This window comes from Homo sapiens, chromosome 10 (assembly GCF_000001405.40).
Source record: "Homo sapiens chromosome 10, GRCh38.p14 Primary Assembly".
NCBI lineage: Eukaryota > Metazoa > Chordata > Mammalia > Primates > Hominidae > Homo > Homo sapiens.
In genome coordinates, this window is record NC_000010.11 from 91,092,264 (window position 1) to 91,113,974 (window position 21,711).

Genomic DNA, 21,711 nt, shown 5'->3' on the forward strand with positions numbered 1-21,711 from the left:
CCCATCTGAGAAGGCAAACGTGAGTTGGGTCTCTTTATGAGTCCATGCTTGCATTGCTATAAAACAAATACCTGAGACTGGGTAATTTACAAAGAAAAGAGGTTTAATAGGCTCATGGTTCTGCAGGCTATACAGGATGTGTGGTGGCTTCTGCTTCTGGGGAGGCCTCAGGGAAGTTTTACTCATAGTGGAAGGCAAAGCAGGAGCAAGCATCTTACATGTCTAGAGTAGGAGGAAGAGGGGTGGGGGAAGTGCTATACACTTTTGAACAACCAGATCTCATGGGAACTCTATCATGAGAACAGCACCAAAGGGATGGTGCCAAACCATTCATTCAGGATCCATTCCCATGATCCAACTACTTCCCACCAAGTCCCACCTCCATCACTGGGGATTACAATTCAACATGAGATTTGCGTGGGGACACAGATCCAAACCATATCATTCTGTCCCTGACCCTTCCCAAATCTCATGTCCTCCCATTGCAAAATACAATCATCCCTTCTCAACAGTCTCCAAAGTCTTAGCTCATTTCAGCATTAACTCAAAAGTCCAGTCTCATCTGAGACAATGCAAGTCTCTTCTGCCTATGAGCCTATAAAATCAAAAGCAAGTTAGTTACTTCCAAGATACAATGGATGTATAGGCATTGGGTAAATACTTGTTCCAAAAGGGAGAAATCAGCCAAAAGAAAGGGCTACAGGCCCCATGCAAATCTAAAACCCAGTAGTGCAGTCATTGAATCTTAAAGCTCCAAAATAATCTCCTTTGTCTCCATGTCCCACATCCAGGGCACAATGATGCAAGAAATGGGCTCCCAAGGCCTTGGGCAGCTCCAAACCTGTGGTTTTGCAGGGTTGGGCTCCCAAGGCTGCTTTCATGGGCTGGCATTGAATCCCTGTAGTTTTTCCTGGTGCACAGTGCAAACCATCAATGGCTCTACAATTTCAGAGTCTGGAGGATGGTGGCCCTCTTCTCACAGCTCCACTAGGCAGTGCCTCAGTGGGAGCTCCAACCCTACGTTTTCCCTCTGCACTGCCCTAGTAGAAGTTTTCCATGCAGGCTCCACCCCTTCAACAGGCTTCTGCCTGGATATCCACGCTTTTCCATACATCCTCTGAAATCTAGATAGAGGCTACCAAGCCTCAGCTCTTGCATGCTGTGCACTTGCTGGCTTAATGCCACATGGAAATTGCAAAGGCTTATGCTTGCACCTCTGCAGCAGTGGCCCAAGCTGTACCTGGACCCTTTTGAACCACATCTGGAGCTGGAGCAGCTGGGATGCAGGGAGCAGTGTCCCAAGGCTGCACAGGGTATTGGGCCCCTGGGCCTAGCCCAAGAAACCATTCTTTGTTCCTAGGCCTTCAGGCCTGTGATGGGCTGGGAGGGGCTGCCACAAAGGTCTCTGAAATGCCTTTGAGAACTTTTCCCCATTGTCTTGGCTATCATTATTTGCCTTCCTTTTAGTTATACAGACTTCTGCAGCTGGCTTGAATTGCTTCCCTGGAAATGGACTTTTTTTTCTATCACATGGCCAGGCTTCAAACTTTCCAAACTTTTATATTCTGCTTCTTCCTTAAATATAGTTTCTGTTTTATGCCATTTCTTTGCTCATGCATATGAGCATAGGCTGTTAGAAGCAACCAGGCAACATCTTGAACACTGCCACTTAGAAATTTCTTCTGCCAGATACCCTAAATCATCACTCTCAAGGACAAACTTCCATAGATCTCTTGGGCACGGGAACAATGTTGCCAGGTTCTTTGCTAAGGCATAACAAACATGACCTTAGCTCCAGTTCCCAGTTAATTCCTCATCTCCATCTGAAACCCTCTCAGCCTGGCCTTCATTGTCCATATCACTACCACCATTTTGGTCACAACAATTTAACGAGTCTCTAGGAAGTTCCAAATTTTCCCTCATCTTCCTGTCTTCTGAGCCCTCCACACTCTTCCAACTTCTGCTTGTTACCCAGTTCCAAAGTTGCTTCACATTTTCAGATATCTTTATAGAAATGCCCCATTCTTTGGTACCAATTTTTGGTATTAGTCCATTCTTGCATTGCTATAAAAAAATACCTGAGACTGAGTAATTTATAAAGAAAAAGGGTTTAATTCACTCACAGTTCAGCAGGCTGTACAGGAAGCATGGCAGTTTCTGCTTCTGGGGAGGACTCAGGGAGATTTACTCATGACAGAAGGCAAAGCAGGAGCAGCCATATTACATGGCCAGAGAAGGAGGAAGAAAGAGAGGGGTATTTGCCACACTCTTTTAAACAACCAGATCTCATAAAAACTTTGTCACAAAAACAGCACCAAAGAGATGCTGCCAAACTGTTCATGAAGGATTCAACCCCATGATCAAATCACTTCCCATCAGGACCCACCTCCACCATTTGGGTGGGATTACAATTCAACATGAGATTTAAGTGGGGATACAGATTCAAACCATATCAGTCTCTGCTGTTTGCAACCAAAAATGTTCCAATTTAGCATACTTAAGTTTAACATCAGAAAGTTGAGGAGAATGAGAATCCTAAAGGTAAATACACTTTTCATTTTTCTGAGGATGACCCAACACTCATTCATTCAACACTCTTACTGAATACCTGTTACATGTCAGGCACTGTGCTGAGAGTATGCAATCCAAGGATGAATAAAATATGGTTCCTGCTCCCAGTCTAGAAGACGAAGACAGACACTGATAAAAATGCAATAAAAGGTCACCAGTGTTTTGATAAAGGTCATAGGAAACTGTAGGTACAGGAAAAAATAGTAGTCAATTATTTCTGGAAGGTTCAGGGAAGTCTTCAGAGAGGTGATAATCCTTTGTTGACATTTGAATGGTAAGTGTTATCTAGGACTTTGCTATTCAAAATGTGGTTTGTGAGCCAGCAGCATCAGCATTACCTGTTAGAAATACAGAATAGGGGCCCCACTCCAGATGTAATGAATCAGCATCTGAATTAAAAAAAATTTTCAGGTGGTTGGTACCACATTAAAGTTTGAGAAGTGCTGATCCAGACAACAAGAAGGGTAGAAGAAGAGTAATTTCAGACAGAGGGACGAGTTTGAACAAAGGCTGGCAGACCTGATAGAGCATGATGTATTCATGAGATTGTAAGTCACAGCAGAAGATGTGAGGGAAGATACAGCACAAATTATAGCAAGTCCAGACCACAGAGAGCCTTGTAATCCATGCAGAAAGGACTGGACTTTATCCGACCAGTAATGGGGAACCAGTAAAGTGAAAGTGTGATGTAATCAGAGTGTATATTTAAAAGTAGAGTAAAACTTTTCTGGCAAGCAGAGTAATAAGATGAAGTTTGGACATGATCCCGGATAAAAGGGAGATTTGAGGGGAAAGAATAACATGATTTGATTGATTTGATTTGATGCAATTTATTTTAATGTTTCAAAGCTAAATGCCTGACAACAGTGTGGAAGATGGATTGGAGAGAGGGCAATACCAAAGGCAGGGAGACCAAGTGACATAGTCGTATACTGGTAAGAGATGATGAAGATGAAAACTACAAAAGTGTAACAGGAGTGGAGAGGAAGAGATGGCTATCAGAGTGAAAATGGGACAGAATCTGCAGACCTTATTCAAAAGCTGGAAGCTGCATATGGCAGCTAAGTGGGGCAAGGAAATCTGGAATATATGATAGAAGAGACAAAATGGAAGAGTCCATAGTGGAACAAAAGAGAGCAAGTTCTGTTCAGGGTCTGCTGAGTTGAATCCCCTGTAGGACATATATATGGAGGTAAGCAAATATGGACACATTAGCAATAAGCACTGACCTCACATCCAAGGTCTCTCTTGAAATTCCTCAACTAGAAACTAGTTTGTTTACTAGAAACCATTTAGCTAATTTTAAAAAGAATTAACTCTGATGAATAATTCAATGACTGTGAACTCAGACCATACAACCTAGAGTTGATCTTCCACCCGTTACCTGATGTATCAGTCCATTCTCATACTGCTAATAAAGACATAACCAAGACTGGGTAATTTATAAAGGAAAGATGTTTAATTGACTCACAGTTCAGCATAGCTAGGGAGACCTCAGGAAACTAACAATCATGACAGAAGGAGAAGCAAACAAGTACTTCTTCACATGGTGGCAGGAAGAAGTTCAGAGTGAAGGCAGGGGAAAGCCCCTTATAAAACTATCAGATTTCATGAGAACTCACTCACTATCATGAGAACAGCATGGAGGTAACCACACCCATGATTAAATTACCACCCACCAGTTCCCTCCGTTGACACGTGGGGATTATGAGAACTATAATTCAAGATGAGGTTTGGGTGGGGACACAGTCAAACGATATGATTCCACCCCAGCCCCTCCCAATCTCATGTCCTCACATTTCAAAACATAATCATGCTTTTTTCAACAGTCCCCCAAAGACTTAACTCATTCCAGCATTAACTCAAAAGTTCAAGTCCAGTCTCATCTGAGACAAGGCAAGTCCCTTCCGCCTATATGCCTGTAAAATCAAAAGCAAGTTAGTTACTTCCTAGATACAATGGGGCTACAGGCATTGGGTAAATACACTCATTTCAAATGGAAGAAATTGGCGGAAACAAAGCTACAGGCCCCATTCAAGTCCAGAATCCAACAGAGCAGTAGTTAAATCTTAAAGCTCTGAAATAATCTCCTTTTACTCTATGACTTACATCCAAGTCATGCCAATGTAAGAGGTAGGCTCCCACGACGTTGGGCAGCTCTGATCCTGTGGCTTTGCAGAGTACGGCCCCATCCTGGCTGCTTTCACAGGCTGGCATTGAGTGTCCGCACCTTTTCCAGGTGCACAGTACAAGCTGTCAGTGGATCTACCATTCTGGGGTCTGGAGGACAATAGCCCTCTTCTCACAGCTCCACAAGGTAGTGCCCCAGTGGGGACTCTGTGTGGGGGCTCCAACTCGACCTTTCCTTTCCGCACTGCCCTAGCAGAGGTTATGCATGAGAGCTCCGCCCCTATACCACACCTCTGCCTGGACATCCAGGCTTTCCCATACATCCTCTGAAATCTAGGCAGAGGTTCCTAAACCTCAATTCTGTCTTCTATATACCTGCAGGACCAACACCACATGGAAGCTGCCAAGGCTTGGGGCTTGCACCCTCTGAAGCCATGGCACAGCCTGTATCTTGGCCCCTTTTAGTCACTGCTGGAGCAGCTGGAATGCAGGGCACCAAGTCCCAAGGCTGCACACAGCAGGGGGGGCCTGCAACCAGCCCAGGAAACCATTTTTTCCTTCTAGGCCTCTGGGCCTGTGATGGGAAGGACTTTTGTGAAGGTTTCTGACATGCCCTGGAGACATTTTCCCCATTATCTTGGTGATTTAACATTTGGCTCCTTGTTACTTATACAAATTTCTGCAGTCTGCTTGAATTTCTCTGCAGAAAATGAGTTTTTATTTTCTACTGCCTGGTCAGGCTGCCAATTTTCCAAACTTTTATGCTCTATCACTTCTTGAATGCTTTGCTGCTCAGAAATTTCATCCGCCAGATACCCTAAATCATCTCTCTCAAGTTCAAAGTTCCACAGATCTCTAGCGTAGAGGCAAAGTGCCACCAGTCTCTTTGCATAGCAAAAGTGACCTTTACTCCAGTTTCCAACAAGTTCCTCATCTCCATCTGAGACCATCTCTGCCTGGACTTTACTGTCCATATCACTATCAGCATTTTAGTCAAAGCCATTCAACAAGTCTTTAGGAAGTTCCAAACTTTCCCAAATCTTCCTGTCTTCTGAGACCTCCAAGTCTCTAGGAAATTCTAAACTTTCCCACATTTTCCTATCTTCTTCTGAGCCCTCCAAGTCTCTAGGAAATTCTAAACTTTCCCACATTTTCCTATCTTCTTCTGAGCCCTCCAAACTGTTCCAACCTCTGCCTGTTACCCAGTTCCAAAGTCACTTCCACATTTTCGGGTATCTTTACAGCAGCACCCCACTCCTGGTACCAATTTACTATATTAGCTCATTCTGATGCTGCTAATAAAGACATACCTAATACTGGGCAATTTATAAAGAAAAGAAGTTTAATGGACTCATAGTTCAGCATGGCTGGGGAGGCCTCAGGAAACTTACAATCACAGCAGAAGGGGAAACAAATATGTCCTCCTTCACATGGCGGGAGCAGAAAGAAATAGAGTGAAGTTGGGGAAAAGCCCCTTATAAAACCATCAGATCTCATGAGAACTCACTCACTATCATGAGAACGGCATGGAGGTAACTGCCCCCATGATTCAATTATCTCCCACCAGGTCCCTCCAACAATACGTGGGGATTACGGGAAGTACAATTCAAGATGAGATTTGGATGGGGACACAGCCAAACCATATCACCTGTGTTTATTGTACACTCAGCAGGAAAGCCCATTGAAGAGTCAGCAGAACTCAGAGTGTGATTCTGGGGACACAACAAGAGGACTTCTCTCTGTTCTCCCTAAATGCCCACTGCTCCTTGAAGCCCTAATTACAGTTCACTTTAAGAAGTAACAATGGACACCTGCCATAAGCCAAGCCCTGTTAGGCACTGGGGATATGACAATAAACAAGAAAATTCTCAGCCTCATTGGGCTTACATCTAGCAAGGGAGACAACAGTTAAACTGAAAATAAATGTGGCAGATGCAGTTCTGCCTTCAAGAAAGTACTTGCTGCCCAGCTATCAAGAGTGTGGCTAGCTGACAGCCCCCAGTACTTAGCACTTTTGGGTCTACCCTGGCTTTCAAGCCAAGACCACACTATTCTTACAGTGACTCCTAGACAATGGCTGGGCAAAGCAGTGGTATCTAAGAGCATGTACATCTTGGAGTGACCCCCAGCTAGAGTTGCCAGATTTAGCAAATAAAAACACAGAGCACCCAGTTAAATTTGCATTGCAGATAAACAATGAATGTTTTTTACTATAATTGTGTCCCAAATATGGCATGAGAAAGACATACTTTAAAAAAAACTCATTGTTGGCTGGGTGCAGTGGCTCACACCTGTAATCCAAGCACATTGGGAGGCTGAGGCAGGTGGATCACTTGAGCCCAGGAGTTCAAGACCAGCCTGGACAACATGGTGAAACCCCATTTCTACAAAAAAAATTTTAGCTGGGTGTAGTGGAGTACTCCTGTAGTCTCAGATACTTGGGAGGCTGAGGCAGGAGGATTACGGAGGATTACTTGAGCTTGGGGCAGAGGTTGCAGTGAGCTGAGAACTGCACTGCACCCAACTTGCAACAGTTGGTACCAAGAAAGGTTTGAGAAATGATGTGGTAAGATAAAGACTTGGGAACTAGATCACTCACCACTTCGCTGGTTTTAAGGACATCATGCCTGGTGGTAGGTAGTGTACAGACAGCCCATGGCATGAGATGGAGGTCCAGTTATTTAAAAGGTTCACCAATGGTAGACCAGGATGGCATGTAGGAAAAGAGGAATGCATTGTTTCAAGCATTAGAATGTAGGGGAATCTCTATGTACGAAAATAATAGAATTTGCTGATTATTACTAAGTTACATTGATGCCCTACTGGAGGATAAAGAAAAGCTGAGAATACTTAAGAAACCACTGAAACTAAGTGTGCAAAGAGTTTCTACAAAGAATCTATGACTGTGAGTGAGCAGCAAAAGCTGAAGATGAAACACAGGATTTAATAGAGCTACTGAATTTCAAAGACATTTGAATGCTCAACAAAAGCAGGGCTGTTAGACCAAAGTCAGGGCCCCAGTTGGCAACAGCTGGGACTCTAACACATGGGACTGAAACATTCCTAGATTCCTCTGAACCTTCTGAACCTGTAGGGGTGGCTCACCCTTCTCAATTAAGAGCTAGCACATTCCTTGTGTAAAAAGATGATACAAGGGGCTTTCCCCTAAAAGGCAACAGGTGGCTCCCTCCTCCACTCCTGGACATCAGCACACATCACAACACATCTGAACCAGGAATATGCTGGGCCTGATAAGGAGTAAAGTGACCATGGCACAAATGAGCTGCAAGATGGCATCAGAGTGAGCCATCAGGGATCAGGGTGCTTGATCAAGATGGCTGCAACATAAGTCTGGATAAAGGAGAGTTGCTTTTTGTTTTTGTTTTTTTTTACTTGGGGTCACTTTGTTGAGATACAGGATTTAACACCCCAGGAAATGATGCAAACTTGCTTCTGCGAACTTGCTGCTAGGGTACCTCCTAGAAGCCTAGAGAAAGTGGTGGCCCCCACTGAGAGATTGAAATGCCTGCTTGCCATGGAAGACATAGGGGAAGTGGTTAAAAGGCTCGGGGAGGTAGGATTGCAGGAATGGGTGTATTAGGAGAGGCCAGAAAGCCAATCAGAGGACACACCATTTACCAAGGCCATCAGGAATGTGGGGCCAGGGCTGACAATAGAAGAGTCTGTCACAGAACTTGGCTTTCTGATGACAGTGGGGCTCTTGGGTGCTCCCAAAGCAATTTGACACCAGGTGGTGGTACTTAACTGCCAGAAGCCAGGAGATTGTAATTATCATAAAAAACAATAAGAACAGAGTGGCAGTCAAGAGGGCCTAACCTATAGATGGAGACGGTGAATAGAACTTAGCATTCTTAGGGACAAACTAGACAGCCAGCAAGAGTGCTGTTTGTCATATGTTTGACATATATTACATACATGTTATATATGTAATCAGAAGAGAGGAAGAATGGGTTAGCAGGAGGCTGAGGGCAATTGCCTCAATAAAAAGTAATAATAACTTTGCCAAATTTCCAGGCCTGAGCTGATTTTCAGATTCAAAACCTGTTGGCTAGGTCTGCAAGGAGACTAGGTGACCAGGTGACTAGGTCTGCAAGGGGAAGAACCCTACAATACCTTGGCAAGTGCACACTGTGATGATTCCCAGTGTCCTTCTCCAAAGGAACCTATTGCCATTGACTTGATTGACTTTACACTGAGAAAAGAAAAATAGCCAAACCTTCCAACAGCTGTTGGAGGCAGGGTCTGAATCATCATTGATACGTAAAGACCTGAAGCATGATCATGGGCTCCTGTGAGAAGCGGAGGACATGGATGTTAGGCAATAAATAGATTCCTGGCCAAAGAATGGTTTATAGTGAGTCCACTGGTCCATGGGCCCATACAGGGGTCATTTTTCCTGTCCAAAAATGTATTATTGGTATTATTATACTTGGCAGTTGATGTAACTCCCTCACTAGGTCCTTGGCTTTTAGACAAGAGTTGTCATAATGGAGAAGGCCAAGTGTAGGGCTCAGAAATTGCTGGCTACGATAAGTAAATCAAAAACAGTATTACACCCTGGGGGAATAGTAGAGATTAAAGAGGCAAGGATGCAGGGATGGTGGTCCCTGTCATATCTCCATTGAATTCCCTAGTCTGGTCCTTTCAGAAACTGAATGGATCCTAGAAAATGACTGAAGACTACCACAAGTACAACCAAGCAATGACCTTGATCATATCTGCTGTGTCCAACATAGTGCCATTGTGGGAGCAGATAAATATGGCCTTGGGTTTATGGTACCCAACCACCAATTTGGCAAATGCATGCTTTTCAATCCCCAATAGAAAAGGCCATCAGAAACAGTTCACATTCAACTAGAATGGGCAATATGTGTAGAACCGATATTCCTGATGGACCAGGGGACCTCTTAGTACTCCCTCGACCAGTTGTGACTATGAATGGACAAAAGCAGCAATGCTGGTCTAAAATAGGTATAGTTACCAGGGGCTCAGAGTCTGGGGCTCACCACTGGGTAGGCTACCCAGACCAGAAAAGGTAGTAGCTGAGGGCAAAGAGAATTTAGAATGGTTGGTGAAAGAGGGGACAGTGAGCATGGTTGTAGCCCCAAGACCAACTGCAGCAATGAGGGGCTGCAGTTTGTCCCTCCTTCTTATAGGTTTTCCCTTAGGAAGAAGGGCCCACCAGAGCCTTGGAAAACTGCCCCTTGCACAGTTTAAGGGATGGACTGTGGCAGAAATGTGGCAGAGATGTGCTGCTCAGATCCCCCTTCAAAAAAAAAAAGCTGGGTTTTAAGGACTGTCATTGGCTGGTAGCTTTTAGCTTCTTCAGAGTTGATTCTGTTTTCACGGTAGCCCCTAGCCAAAGGCAGAGCAAGGCCTGGCCAATTCCATCCAAAGCTCTAGTGTGTAGTCTACTCCAGAGATCCCTGTTGGTCGGCAGCGATCTGCCGCATGGTCTGGCAGCTGTTTCTAGTTGCCTCCCTCCACCAGACTGAACAATGCTCCCCCTAAAAAGATATGTCTGCATCCTAATTTCTGGAACCTGTGAATATAACCTTATTTCAGAAAAGGGTATTCTTTACAGATGTGATTAAGTTGAGGATTTTGAGATGAGGAAACCATCCTGGATTACCCAGGTGAGCCCTAAATGTAATCACGTGTATTCTAATAAGATAAACACACAGAGGAAAAAGACACAGAGAAGAGGAAAAAGCCATGCGACCACCTAAGCAGAGACTGGAGTGATGCAGCCACAAGCTAAAGAGTGCCTGGAGCGGCCAGAAGTGAAAGGAAGAGATTCTCCACCCCACCCCCAGCCTTTGGAGGAAATGCAGCCCTACTGATACCTTGATAATGGACATCTGAACCTGAATGCCTCTAGAACTTCAAGATAATCAATTTTATTGTTTTCAGCCACCAAGGTGATAGTGATCTGTTGTGGCAGCCCTAGAACATGGATGCGCTCCTCTTTTCTTTTCAGAATCTCTCCTCAATCTTTTCTGCTCCTGACTATGACTCTGTTTCTGCTTCTTGGAGCAACCTGTCTTGCAGCAGGCTGAACAGTGCAGTAGGATCACAATCAGAGCAGTAGGATCACAATCAGTAACACAATCAGAGGGTATGATTGAAAGGGCATGGAGGAAGGGCATCTAGCCCCAAGGCAGAGGGTGGAGGGGCAGGGAGGACAATCTAGAGCAAGTGACATCTCAAGTGGCCTGAACGATGGCAGGAGCCAGCTAAATCAAGGGACACTAAAAGGAGAAAGTGTCACACCTTCAAGAAACTAAAAACCACTCAATGAAAGGGAAGGATGAGCTGTGTGAGGTCGGAGCGGCAAGGCAAGCAGAGGCTGGATCCAACTGGCTTGGTGAGTGATCTCCGGTCTTTGTATTTAATCCTAAAAGGATTTAAACAGAGTGCCCTGAGCAGCATTTCACTAATAAAGATGAATTCATTTGGCTTAAAAGAATTGCAAGGATACAACTATTCTTGAGAAAAAGATACCACAATAAAGCCTGCTCATTTATTGATGCCCTTGTGGGAACAGCTGTGTCTCTGATCGCATGCTAAGAATGTTTCCACCGGGGAGATGGAGATATTATGAGGGCCTCAGGCAGCTTTCTCTTCATAGTGTGATAAGGACAATTTACAGCCTTTTCTCAATCAGTATTATAAAGCACTGTGTAAAGGCAGCTTCAAGTTCCACCTTCCATGCAACCAGATTGTCAGCCCTAAATCCTTTCTAAATAGAAATGCTGGAGCTGCCTTTGGCCATGAGTACCTTCAGGACAAGAAGAATTTTCAACTAGGGAGAAGTGGAAGGGATGCATGAAATGGCAGAACCATTTGCAGCCTTGGACTTCTCCTTAGGAACTGCCCAGGGGACTGTATGCGTTTATTATCTCACAAGAGCAGCTGTGGGGTATGACCAGCCCTGGTGAGGGAGAGGTGTCCGCACCACTGCACTCTAGGACGGCTCAGCCTACACAGGAAATTGTTATCTTACCTCCCTTGGGGAACAAAGGAGAAACTTTGTTTGATGCAGACTTCAAAAAAGAGTGGCCTAAGGGCCACATCTGGTGTATTTTCTTTGGTCTCCAATGCTGTGCTCTTGTTTTTAATTGAACCAACATTCAAATATTAGAAGAGTTCCCATGACAGTCCAGACTGCTAGGTTCCCTCATCAAATCAGGAGTGCTGGCTTCAGTTCACCCCCATTCCTGCAGGGATCAGAGCCCAGCAGCAGCCACCCACACTTCGCTCGGGACAAGCCTGCTCTGAGCTACACAGCGCCTCCCCACCCTGGGGATTTGGATCCACAGTACAGAAGCCAAGAGTTTTGTTTTCCTAACACGCGCATAGAAATATTTATCTGGACCCATATTCCCACCGTAAGTGGGAAAATGCAATGCTACATTGAAAGAGCCAGAATTTCTAAACAAATAGGAAAGATTCTATAGTATTTTCCCTCTGACACCAGCCAGCTTTATTTAGTTTACGTGTCTGAGCTTGTGACCCCTGACTTCAATGTTTTCAGGGTCTCAGTTCCTCTTCCCTCTTGGCCAAGTTCATCTGTTCTGCCTGTAGCACCTCGTCATTCTTCCACACTGGGCGGGCAGCCCTTGGTCCACACTCGCAGGTACCACATGGGAGACCATTTCTAGGAAACTGGGGGCTCCAAATTTCTCCAGAGAAGAAGCCTCAGACAAAATCCTGGGGGAAAGGCAGGGAGAACTTCAGCAGAAAGGCTCTGATCTCAAAGGAGATGTTACTATTTTGTTTCAGGTGCCCCTCTCTCTTCCTCTCCTCTGTTGACACACCCACACACCCAGTCTAGACCATGCCTCACTATTAAAGATACCAAGAATTAAAGTCGGCTTGTGAATTATTCTTTGTGCTAACACTCCTCCCTGCTAGGGAGCTGCTCCACTCCCACACCCCCTCTCACTCCTACCCCAGCCTATAGCATACTCTGGCCTGAAGAATTAGCAGAGGAAACGGCCACCACCAGATTCTCATCTCTTTCCCAAATGGGCTGCCGCTCCTCTGAGTGGAGAGAGGAAACTACACCTTCTCCCTCCCTGCACAGGGCCGGCACTATTTGTTTCCCTCCCAATGCTTTCGAATGAGAAGGAAGAATAATTCACAAGCCGACTCTAATTCTTGGTATCTTTAATAGTGAGGCATGGTAGACCAGGTGTGTGGGTGTGTTAACAGAGGAGAGGAAGAGAGAGGGGCACCTGAAACAAAATAATAACATCTTTGAGATCAGAGCCTTTCTGCTGAAGTTCTCCCTGCCCTTCCCCCAGGATTTTGTCTGAGGCTTCTTCTCTGGAGAAATTTAGAGCCCCCAGTTTCCCAGAAATGGTCTCCCATGTGGTACCTGTGAGTGTGGACCAAGGCCTGCCCGCCCAGTGTGGAAGAATGACGAGGTGCTGCAGGCAGAATAGATGAACTTGGCCAAGAGGGAAGAGGAACTGAGACCCTGAAAACTCTGAAGTCAGGGGGCACCTCTGCAGTGCTGGCCCTGTGCAGGGAGGGAGAAGGTGTAGTGTCCTCCCTCCACTCAGAGGAGCAGCAGCCCATTTGGGAAAGAGATGAGAATCTGGTGGTGGCTGTTTCCTTTGCTGATTCTTCAGGCCAGAGTATTCTATAGGCTGGGGTAGGAGTGAGAGGGGGTGTGGGAGTGGAGCAGCTCCCTAGCAGGGAGGAGTGTTAGCACTGACATTGTTTAGAATTGCTGGTTGCAACAACACTTTTCTTCTTCTCCCTTCTCCTTCTTCTTCTTCTTTTTGATTTCCAATTTTTATTTTAAGTTCAGGGGTAAATGTGCAGGATGTGCAGGTATGTTACATAGGTAAATGTGTGCTATGGTGGTTTGCTGCACAGATTATCTAGGTATTAGGCCCAGCATTCATTAGCTATTCTTCCTGGTGCTCGCTCTCCTCACCAACCCTTTGACAGGCCCCAGTGTCCAGAGTGTGTTGTTCCTCCCATTTGTCCATGTGTTCTCATTGTTCAGCTCCCACTTATAGGTGAGAACATGTAGTGTTTGGTTTTCCGTTCCTGCGTTAGTTTGCGAACGATAATGGCTTCCAGCTCCAACCATGTCCCTGCAACTGACACTGTCTTGTTCCTTTTTACAGCTGCATAGTAGTCCATGGTGTATATGTACCACATTTTCTTTATCCAGTCTATTATTGATGGGCACTTAGGTTGATTCCATGTCTTTGCTATTGTGAATACATGTGCGTATGTCTTTATAATGAAATGATTTATATTCTTTTGGGTATATACCCAGTAATGGTATTGCTGGGTCAAATGGTATTTCTTCCTCTAGGTCTTTGAGGAATCGCCACACTATCTTCCACAATAGTTGAACTAATTTACACTCCCAATTGTGTAAAAGTGTTGCTTTTTCACCAGAACCTCACCAGCCATCTGTTGTTTTTTGACTTTTTAGTAATAGCCTTTCTGACTGGTGTGAGATGGTATCTCATTGTGGTTTTGATTTGCATTTCTCTAATGATCAATGATATTGAGGTTTTTTTCATATGTTTGTTGGCCGCATGTATGTCTTCTTTTGAGAAGTATCTGTTACGTCCTTTGCCCACTTTTTTTTTTTTTAGTAGTGTTGTTTGGGTTTTTCTTGTAAATTTAAGTTCCTTGTAGATGTTGGATATTAGACCTTCTGTAGGTTGTCTGTTCATTCCAATGATAGTTTCTTTTGGTGTGCAGAAGCTCTTTAGTTTAATTAGATCCCCATTTGTCAATTTTTGCTTTTGTTTCAATTGCTTTTGGCATCTTTGTTATGAATTCCTTGCCTGTGTCTATGTCCTGAATGGTACTGCCTAGATTTCTTCTAGGATTTTTATAGTTTTGGGTTTTGCATTTAAGTCTTTAATCCATCTTGAGTTGATTTTTGTATATGGTGTAAGGAAGGGGTCCAGTTTCAATTTTCTGTGTATGGCTAGCCAGTTCTCCCAGCACCATTTATTAAACAGGGAATCCTTTCTCCATTGCTTGTTTTTGTCAGGTTTGTCAAAGATCAGATGATTGTAGGTGTGCAATCTTGTTTCTGGTTCTCTATTCTGTTCCATTGGTCTATGTGTGTGTCCTTGTACCAGTACCATGCTGTTTGGGTTACTGTAGTTTTGTAGTGTAGTTTGAAGTTGGGTAGCATGATGCCTCCAGCTTTGTTCTTTTTGCTTAGGATTGCCTTGGCTATTCAGGCTCTTTTTTGGTTTCATGTGAGTTTTAAAATGTTTTTTTTTCTGATTCTGTGAAGAATGTCAATGGTGGTTTAATGGGAATAGCATTGAATCTATAAAATGCTTTGGGCAGTATGGCCATTTTCATGATATTGATTCTCCCATCCATGAGCATGGACTGTTTTTCCATTTGTTTGTGTCATCTCTGATTTCTCTGAGCAGTGGTTTGTAGTTCTCCTTGAAGAGGTCCTTCACTTCCATTGTTAGCTGTATTTTTAGGTATTTTATTCTTTTTGTGGCAATTGGGAATGGGAGTTCATTCATGATTTGGCTCTCAGCTTGCCTGTACAGCAACAGTTTTTATTTCATTTTATTACTACTTTTAAATTCTCTACATAAAGGGCACCCAGGGTAGCAATGCCATGGCCCATCACCACTTGATATGCCCTTGGGGTTCCCCACTCCCATTGCAGTCTCCATTGCATTGAAGCTAGATGGTCAGGCTAGAGCCACACAGCTGAGCCTGTTATTAAGCCAGGCCTACACTAACATGCATGTCTGCCCCTGATTGAATCTTCCCAACAACACTGTAAGGTTGTATAATCAAGCTCATTTTTCAGATGAGGAGCCAAGGCTTAGGGAGGTGAGGAGACTTTCCCAAGATCACACTAGGGAGTGGTGAAGCACGGATAAGTCCAGGTTTGCCTGACTTCAAGCACTTGTCCTTTACTGATCTGCACACCCACTTTGTTTCTTTCTGGTCAGTTTCCCAATTTTCTTAGCTTCTGGCCTGGGATCTATAGTTTCTGTTTTGGCCTTGGCTCATTCCCTAGGCTGGGCTACTGGGGTATCCCTTCCCTGACTCGGACCTTTGATTTTCTGATCAACCATATTTAGGAATCTCCCTCTTTCCATGCTGCCCTTAGCTTTCCCAAGGAAGATCCCCCACCTAATCCAACCTAGCCTGTAGGAGGTCCTTGGATCTTGGAAGGTTTGCCCTTTTTCTTTTTTTTTTATTTTTATTTTATTATTATTATACTTTAAGTTTTAGGGTACATGTGCACAATGTGTAGGTTAGTTACCTATGTATACATGTGCCATGCTGGTGTGCTGCACCCATTAACTCGTCATTTAGCATAAGGTATATCTCCTAATGCTATCCCTTCCCCCTCCCCCCACCCCACAACAGTCCCCAGAGTGTGATGTTCCCCTTCCTGTGTCCATGTGTTCTCATTGTTCAATTCCCACCTATGAGTGAGAATATGCGGTGTTTGGGTTTTTTTTCTTGCGATAGTTTACTGAGAATGATGATTTCCAATTTCATCCATGTCCCTACAAAGGACATAAACTCATCATTTTTTATGGCTGCATAGTATTCCATGGTGTATATGTGCCACATTTTCTTAATCCAGTCTATCGTTGTTGGACATTTGGGTTGGTTCCAAGTCTTTGCTATTGTGAATAGAGCCGCAATAAACATATGTGTGCATGTGTCTTTATAGCGGCATGATTTATAGTCCTTTGGGTATATACCCAGTAATGGGATGGCTGGGTCAAATGGTATTTCTAGTTCTAGATCCCTGAGGAATCGCCACACTGACTTCCACAATGGTTGAACTAGTTTACAGTCCCACCAACAGTGTAAAAGTGTTCCTATTTCTCCACATCCTCTCCAGCACCTGTTGTTTCCTGACTTTTTAATGATTGCCATTCTAACTGGTGTGAGATGGTATCTCATTTTTTGCCCTTTTTCTATGAACAGGATCTGAACAACAGGAAAATACAAGTATGTGTTTATATGGACTCACATGTGTGCCTGTGTGTGCATGTGTGTATTTGCAGAAGTATAAGTGGAGATCTAGAAGTGTGAAATGGCATGGAGGTGCATGGAATGGGGCAGTCCTATTGGGACAGAGTAATTAAGAGAGATATGGGAGAAAATCTAGGAGTGACAGATGCTGACTGGATGCCCTTGTACACTTTATATTTCTTCCAGATAGATTTCCTGCCTGGAAGACCATTCCCCAGGTTAGCATTTCCTTTTCCTGCCTGATGCTCTTCAGGAACAGTTCCTGTGTTTTGCATCTTGAACATCCAGTCAGTGCTTAATCTAGCAATGCAATTTCCCCCATTTGCAGAATAAAGAGGCACTCTTCATTGATTCTTCACTAGGTCCTCTCTCCTTTATCTTTCAGACTCTGGACCTTAAGACACAGGCCTCAGCACCTGCTGTTCCTGTGCCACTGTGCAAATAGGAAGCCTTCCAGGGCACCAGGCTGCCAATGTCCTGATGCAAAAGATGGAACTGGGATAAAGGTATATTTTAAATTAACAATGCCATTTAAGTGCTACAAAATGGTTTTAGAAATGGATTTTTAATTTCATAAGTAATGCATATTCATTGAAGAAAATTAGAAAATCCATTTGTGCAAAAAGATGAAATCTCACCAACCATACAGGGAACCGTTGATAACCTCTTATTGCATAATCCCAAAGCTTTTTCCATTAAAGCGAACGTGTGTGTGTGTATGCATGTGTTTTCATAACAAGCATATACAGTTTTATAATCTGCTTTTCTAAGGGATTGATTATTATGGCTTGGTATACTTCAATAATTTTACAGAAATGCAAGTTTCTCTATATTATACTTCCTTAACTTTTTATATAATAATTTAATGCATTGTTTACCAAACAAGTTACTATGGGTGGGTCAGGAGCAAGAAGAATCAATTTTTTAAAATTATGTTTCTGACCGAAGGTCAGCCTATTATGTACTGGCAGCTGTACATGCATCATTTCCTCTAATCCTTACATTAGGTTGATTTCATTACTTTCATCATATAGATAAGGAAACCCAGGCTTAAGAGGTTAAATAACCCACCCAAGGTCATGTAGCTGAAAAGCAGCAGATCCACTCAGGTCTCTCTGACATCAAAATCTAGCTCTTTCCAACTTGCTTATCTATCAGTGAAATAGAATTTGACTTGGGGTGAGCAGGAAAAAGGGGTAACAATACTGATAATGTGATTTTTTACATTTATTTTTATTTTTTATTTTTTATTTTTTGAGACAGAGTCTCACTCTGATGCCCAGGCTGGAGTGCAGTGGCGCCAGCTTGGCTCACTGCAACCTCTGCCACCCAGGTTCAAGTGATTCTCCTTCCTCAGCCCCCCAAGTAGCTGGGATTACAGGCGCACGCCACCACACCTGGCTAATTTTTGTAATTTTAGTAGAGACCAAGATTCACCATGTTGGCCAGGCTGGTCATGAACTCCTGACCTCAGGTGATCCATCTGCCTTGACCTCCCAAAGCGTTGGGATTACAGGCATGAGCCACCGCGCCCAGCCATGATAATGTGATTTAGATAGTAAAAGAACATGTCCACCATTATCATGAGGCCCATCTGTAGCATTTGGTGTGAATGTCGCGAATGAAGGCTCATACAGAAGGTCAATCCTAGGATTTAAGTCTCTACTGATTAGCCTACTTTTTAAAAAAATTCTTCAGCGAAGATAGCAGAAGAGATGACTTATATAGATGTTACACTCAGCCACAACTGAGAGCAGAACTAGTCTAGAATATCACAGGTCCAGGGCAAAGAACCAACAGGAGTTGTTTTGGTGTGAGCAGGGTGGGTCTTACAGAAGTGGTCTTGGTGATCAGTTGGTGATGGAAGTTCTAGATCCATTGAGAGACAAGTTCCAGACAGTGGCACGCAGTCCAACAACTTCTACCAGAATCCCCAGCCTCCGGCATTCCATGTTTCTGCTCCTGTGGCCTCCACGGTGCACATGCTAGCAGTTTACCTGGACCTCTGCCTCATCTTTCTTCTTTCACGCTTCAATCTGCGTATTCGCTTCTTCCTCCACATGGCTCTCAAGGAGCAAAGGTGTCTAAGAAGACGGTAATAAGGCTGAGAGCTGAGCCTACTCAAGCAACCCAACCTGCAATAGTATGCTTGTTGGAGCAAGGAGGAAACTGGGGAAACAGGCAGCCAAGCAGATTCATTAAAAGGCAGTACTATCTTTGCCTTCTTGGTACAGCAGGCAGATATTTTTAACTGGGGCTCTGCTGACTGAAGATGATTGGCAACAATGCCAGCCCTAAAGTGGACCTCAGGGAATGCCAAGCAAATACACTCAGGGCCTATTAAATTTATATTCTTCTTCGCAAAAGGGTCTCTTCTATTTTCTATAAAAATTCAGGGTAAAATAAGTGAATTTCCCTATGGTCGCTATGGACATTGGCTGATCACATTCTGAAAGAGCAGGAGAAACAATGATTCCACGTTAGGAATTCTTTTTTCTTCTGAGAATGAAACCAGAGAGTGAGTGTATGTGCTCACTTGCAGATTTTGGTATTTCTGCTATAATAGTTGGAGGATTAGCACTCTACAACTTTACCCTTTCCTTGAAAGATACACAGTTATTTGCTAGAACTTCAGTTATTCATTTCCTTCAATGCTATAGTCATAATTCTAAACTAGTTTAATGCCTTTGAAGAAAATTAATTAGCTCTTGTGTTGATACTTCTAAAGTGCTTTAATGCAGGTCTGGTTTGTACTCAGCCTTTAAAAGAATTTCCATGGCAGCCATTTAACAGATAACAGACTTTTCTGGAAATGCCCAGTGCTTTGTAGCATTTGAAAAGGAACATGTTTGATGGACATTTGTGCAATTAAAAATATAATTACTCACTGATAAAAGTGTACTATTAATTTAAAAAATTCCTTTAAAAATGAAAGGTATGTCTTATAATTCATCAGAAAATAATTCCATGGCCAATTTGTTTAATTATAAGGAGACTTTAAAGTATACAGCAGTACTCAGTAATCAGTGCCCAGAAAATCACAAATCCCCAGAGTGAAATTCATTTGCTCTTGGTAGTATATCCCTATGTTTGACAGATATTTTTATTCCAAATGTTCTCCATTCATTCTGAAATCAGATCTATCAAAATCCTTGAGCACCTGCTGTTTGCCAGGTTAATTTGCCCATCATTGTTTTAAATAATCCTCAAACCCAATGCCACATAACAGGTAGTAGGAAAGTAGAAAAACATCCTTATTTTCCAGATGATAAAATTATACTTTGGGAAAATTAATTTACATGGCTAAAGTCATTCAGCTAATAAGGATCAGAACCAGAATTTGAACCCAGACCTTCAGCCTGCAGTGTCCAAATATACGCCCACTTTGTTAAGGGGCTGCTGTGAAAATGTGACCAGCTGCACAGCCACATACATGCCCATCCCTTCTTTTTGCCTCATCTCTATGCCAGGGCTTAGAGGAAAGTTCCCAGACCTACTGATTGGAATCCAAGTCCCTTCTGTGCTGCTGCAACAGAATACCTGAGACAGGGTAATTTATGATGAATAGAAATTTGTTTCTCAGAGTTCTAGAGCCTGGAAAGTCCAAGATCAAGACACCAGCATCTGGCGAGGGCCTTCTTGCTGTGTGATCCCACGGCAGAAGGTGAGAAAGTGAGAAGGTAAGAGAGAGACAAAAGGAGGCTGAATTTGTCCTTTTATAAGGAATCCACTCCCATGATAATGAACCCACTCCCACCATAACATCATTAATCCATACATGAGGGCCAAATACTCATGGCCTAATCACCTCTTAAAGGTCCCACCTCTTAAGACTGTACAGTTACAGTGGCAATTAAATTTCACATGAGTTGGGAGGGGACAACCATTCAAATCATAGCAGAATCCTTGCCTTGCACCCTGGGCATGTGTATTTTAAAAGCTTTTCAAGTCATTTTCATGTAGAAAGAGTTGAAAAACATACTTACAAATCTATGAATCCAATTCCTTTGGCCTCTGCTCATAAATCTCATTTTCTACAAACCATCTTCATTTTGTTGTTATTTCCTTTGGGATCCATTTCTCATACTTAGTGTGGAGTAGGCCTGTAAGAAACTACCAGCTCCGGGAGACAGAATGATAGAATTGTGGCTTGCTTCCTTTCTGTCAGACTTCCTCAGTATCTTCTCACTTATTTGAAGTTTATGTGAAAAAGCCAGTGACATTTTTCCTAAAGCTAAGAGGAGGCAGTAAGTGTAACTGTGGACTAAAAAAATATTGGTAATTGAAAGAACATGAAGAAAAGTCCCAAAGACTTTTTTTTTTTTTTTTTTTTTGAGACAGAGTCTCACTCTGTTGCCGAGGCTAGAGTGCAGTGGTACAATCTCCACTCACTGCAACCTCTGCCTCCCAGGTTGAAGCAATTCTCCTGCCTCAGCCTCCCAAGTAGCTGTGATTACAGGCATGTGCCACCATGCCCAGCTAATTTTAGTAGAGACTGGATTTCACCATGTTGGCCAAACTGGTCTCGAACTCCTGACCTCAGGTGATCTGGCTGCCTTGCCAGACTTTTATTCAAATCCTTGTGACATGACTTGGTTAAGCCAAAACCATAATTTTGGTTTATCCTCTCAAACCTGTAAAGTAAGGATGATCATAGAAACCTCTTTGAGCTGTTAGGAGATCGTGTGTGGGTCTCAAATAAATCTGGGCCAGCTTCCTCCCATCCTGTATAGCCAGGGCGTCACACTCAGAGGAAACAGAAATCAATTCCAAAATACTTTGAAAAGTAATACGTATATATTAAGAAGTCTCTTTAAGTGGCAAACGGGACTTAGAAGGGGCAACACATGTGTGATTAAGCCATGGACTTAAGAGCCAGATTGCCTAAGTTCAAATCCTGCTTTTCCCACTTACTGTGTGTGTTCCCTTGAGCAGGTTACCAAGGTCATCTCTGTGCTTCTGTTTCTT

At 43.4% G+C, this 21,711-nt stretch overlaps 1 long non-coding RNA gene across 2 annotated transcripts in view, besides 1 other annotated feature; it reads left to right on the forward strand.

The window, feature by feature from the left end:
• Window positions 1–10,876: 10,876 nt before the first annotated feature.
• Window positions 10,877–21,711, forward strand: part of LOC105378429 (uncharacterized) — a 35,018-nt gene continuing 24,183 nt past the window's right edge. The window contains exons 1-3 of one of the 2 annotated variants that reach the window (XR_946202.2): window positions 10,877–11,089; window positions 17,129–17,249; window positions 20,214–20,414. This is a non-coding gene — a long non-coding RNA (uncharacterized LOC105378429). Of the gene's footprint in view, window positions 11,090–17,128; window positions 17,250–20,213; window positions 20,415–21,711 lie in introns of those variants that run through there. The other variant, XR_946203.3, reaches the window with a different exon arrangement.
• Window positions 11,530–11,579: an enhancer, noted in NCBI's record as "active region_3760". NCBI's record gives its function as "activates an Ori minimal core promoter by ATAC-STARR-seq in GM12878 lymphoblastoid cells {active_cell/tissue: GM12878}" and the evidence as "EXISTENCE:reporter gene assay evidence [ECO:0000049][PMID:35858748]".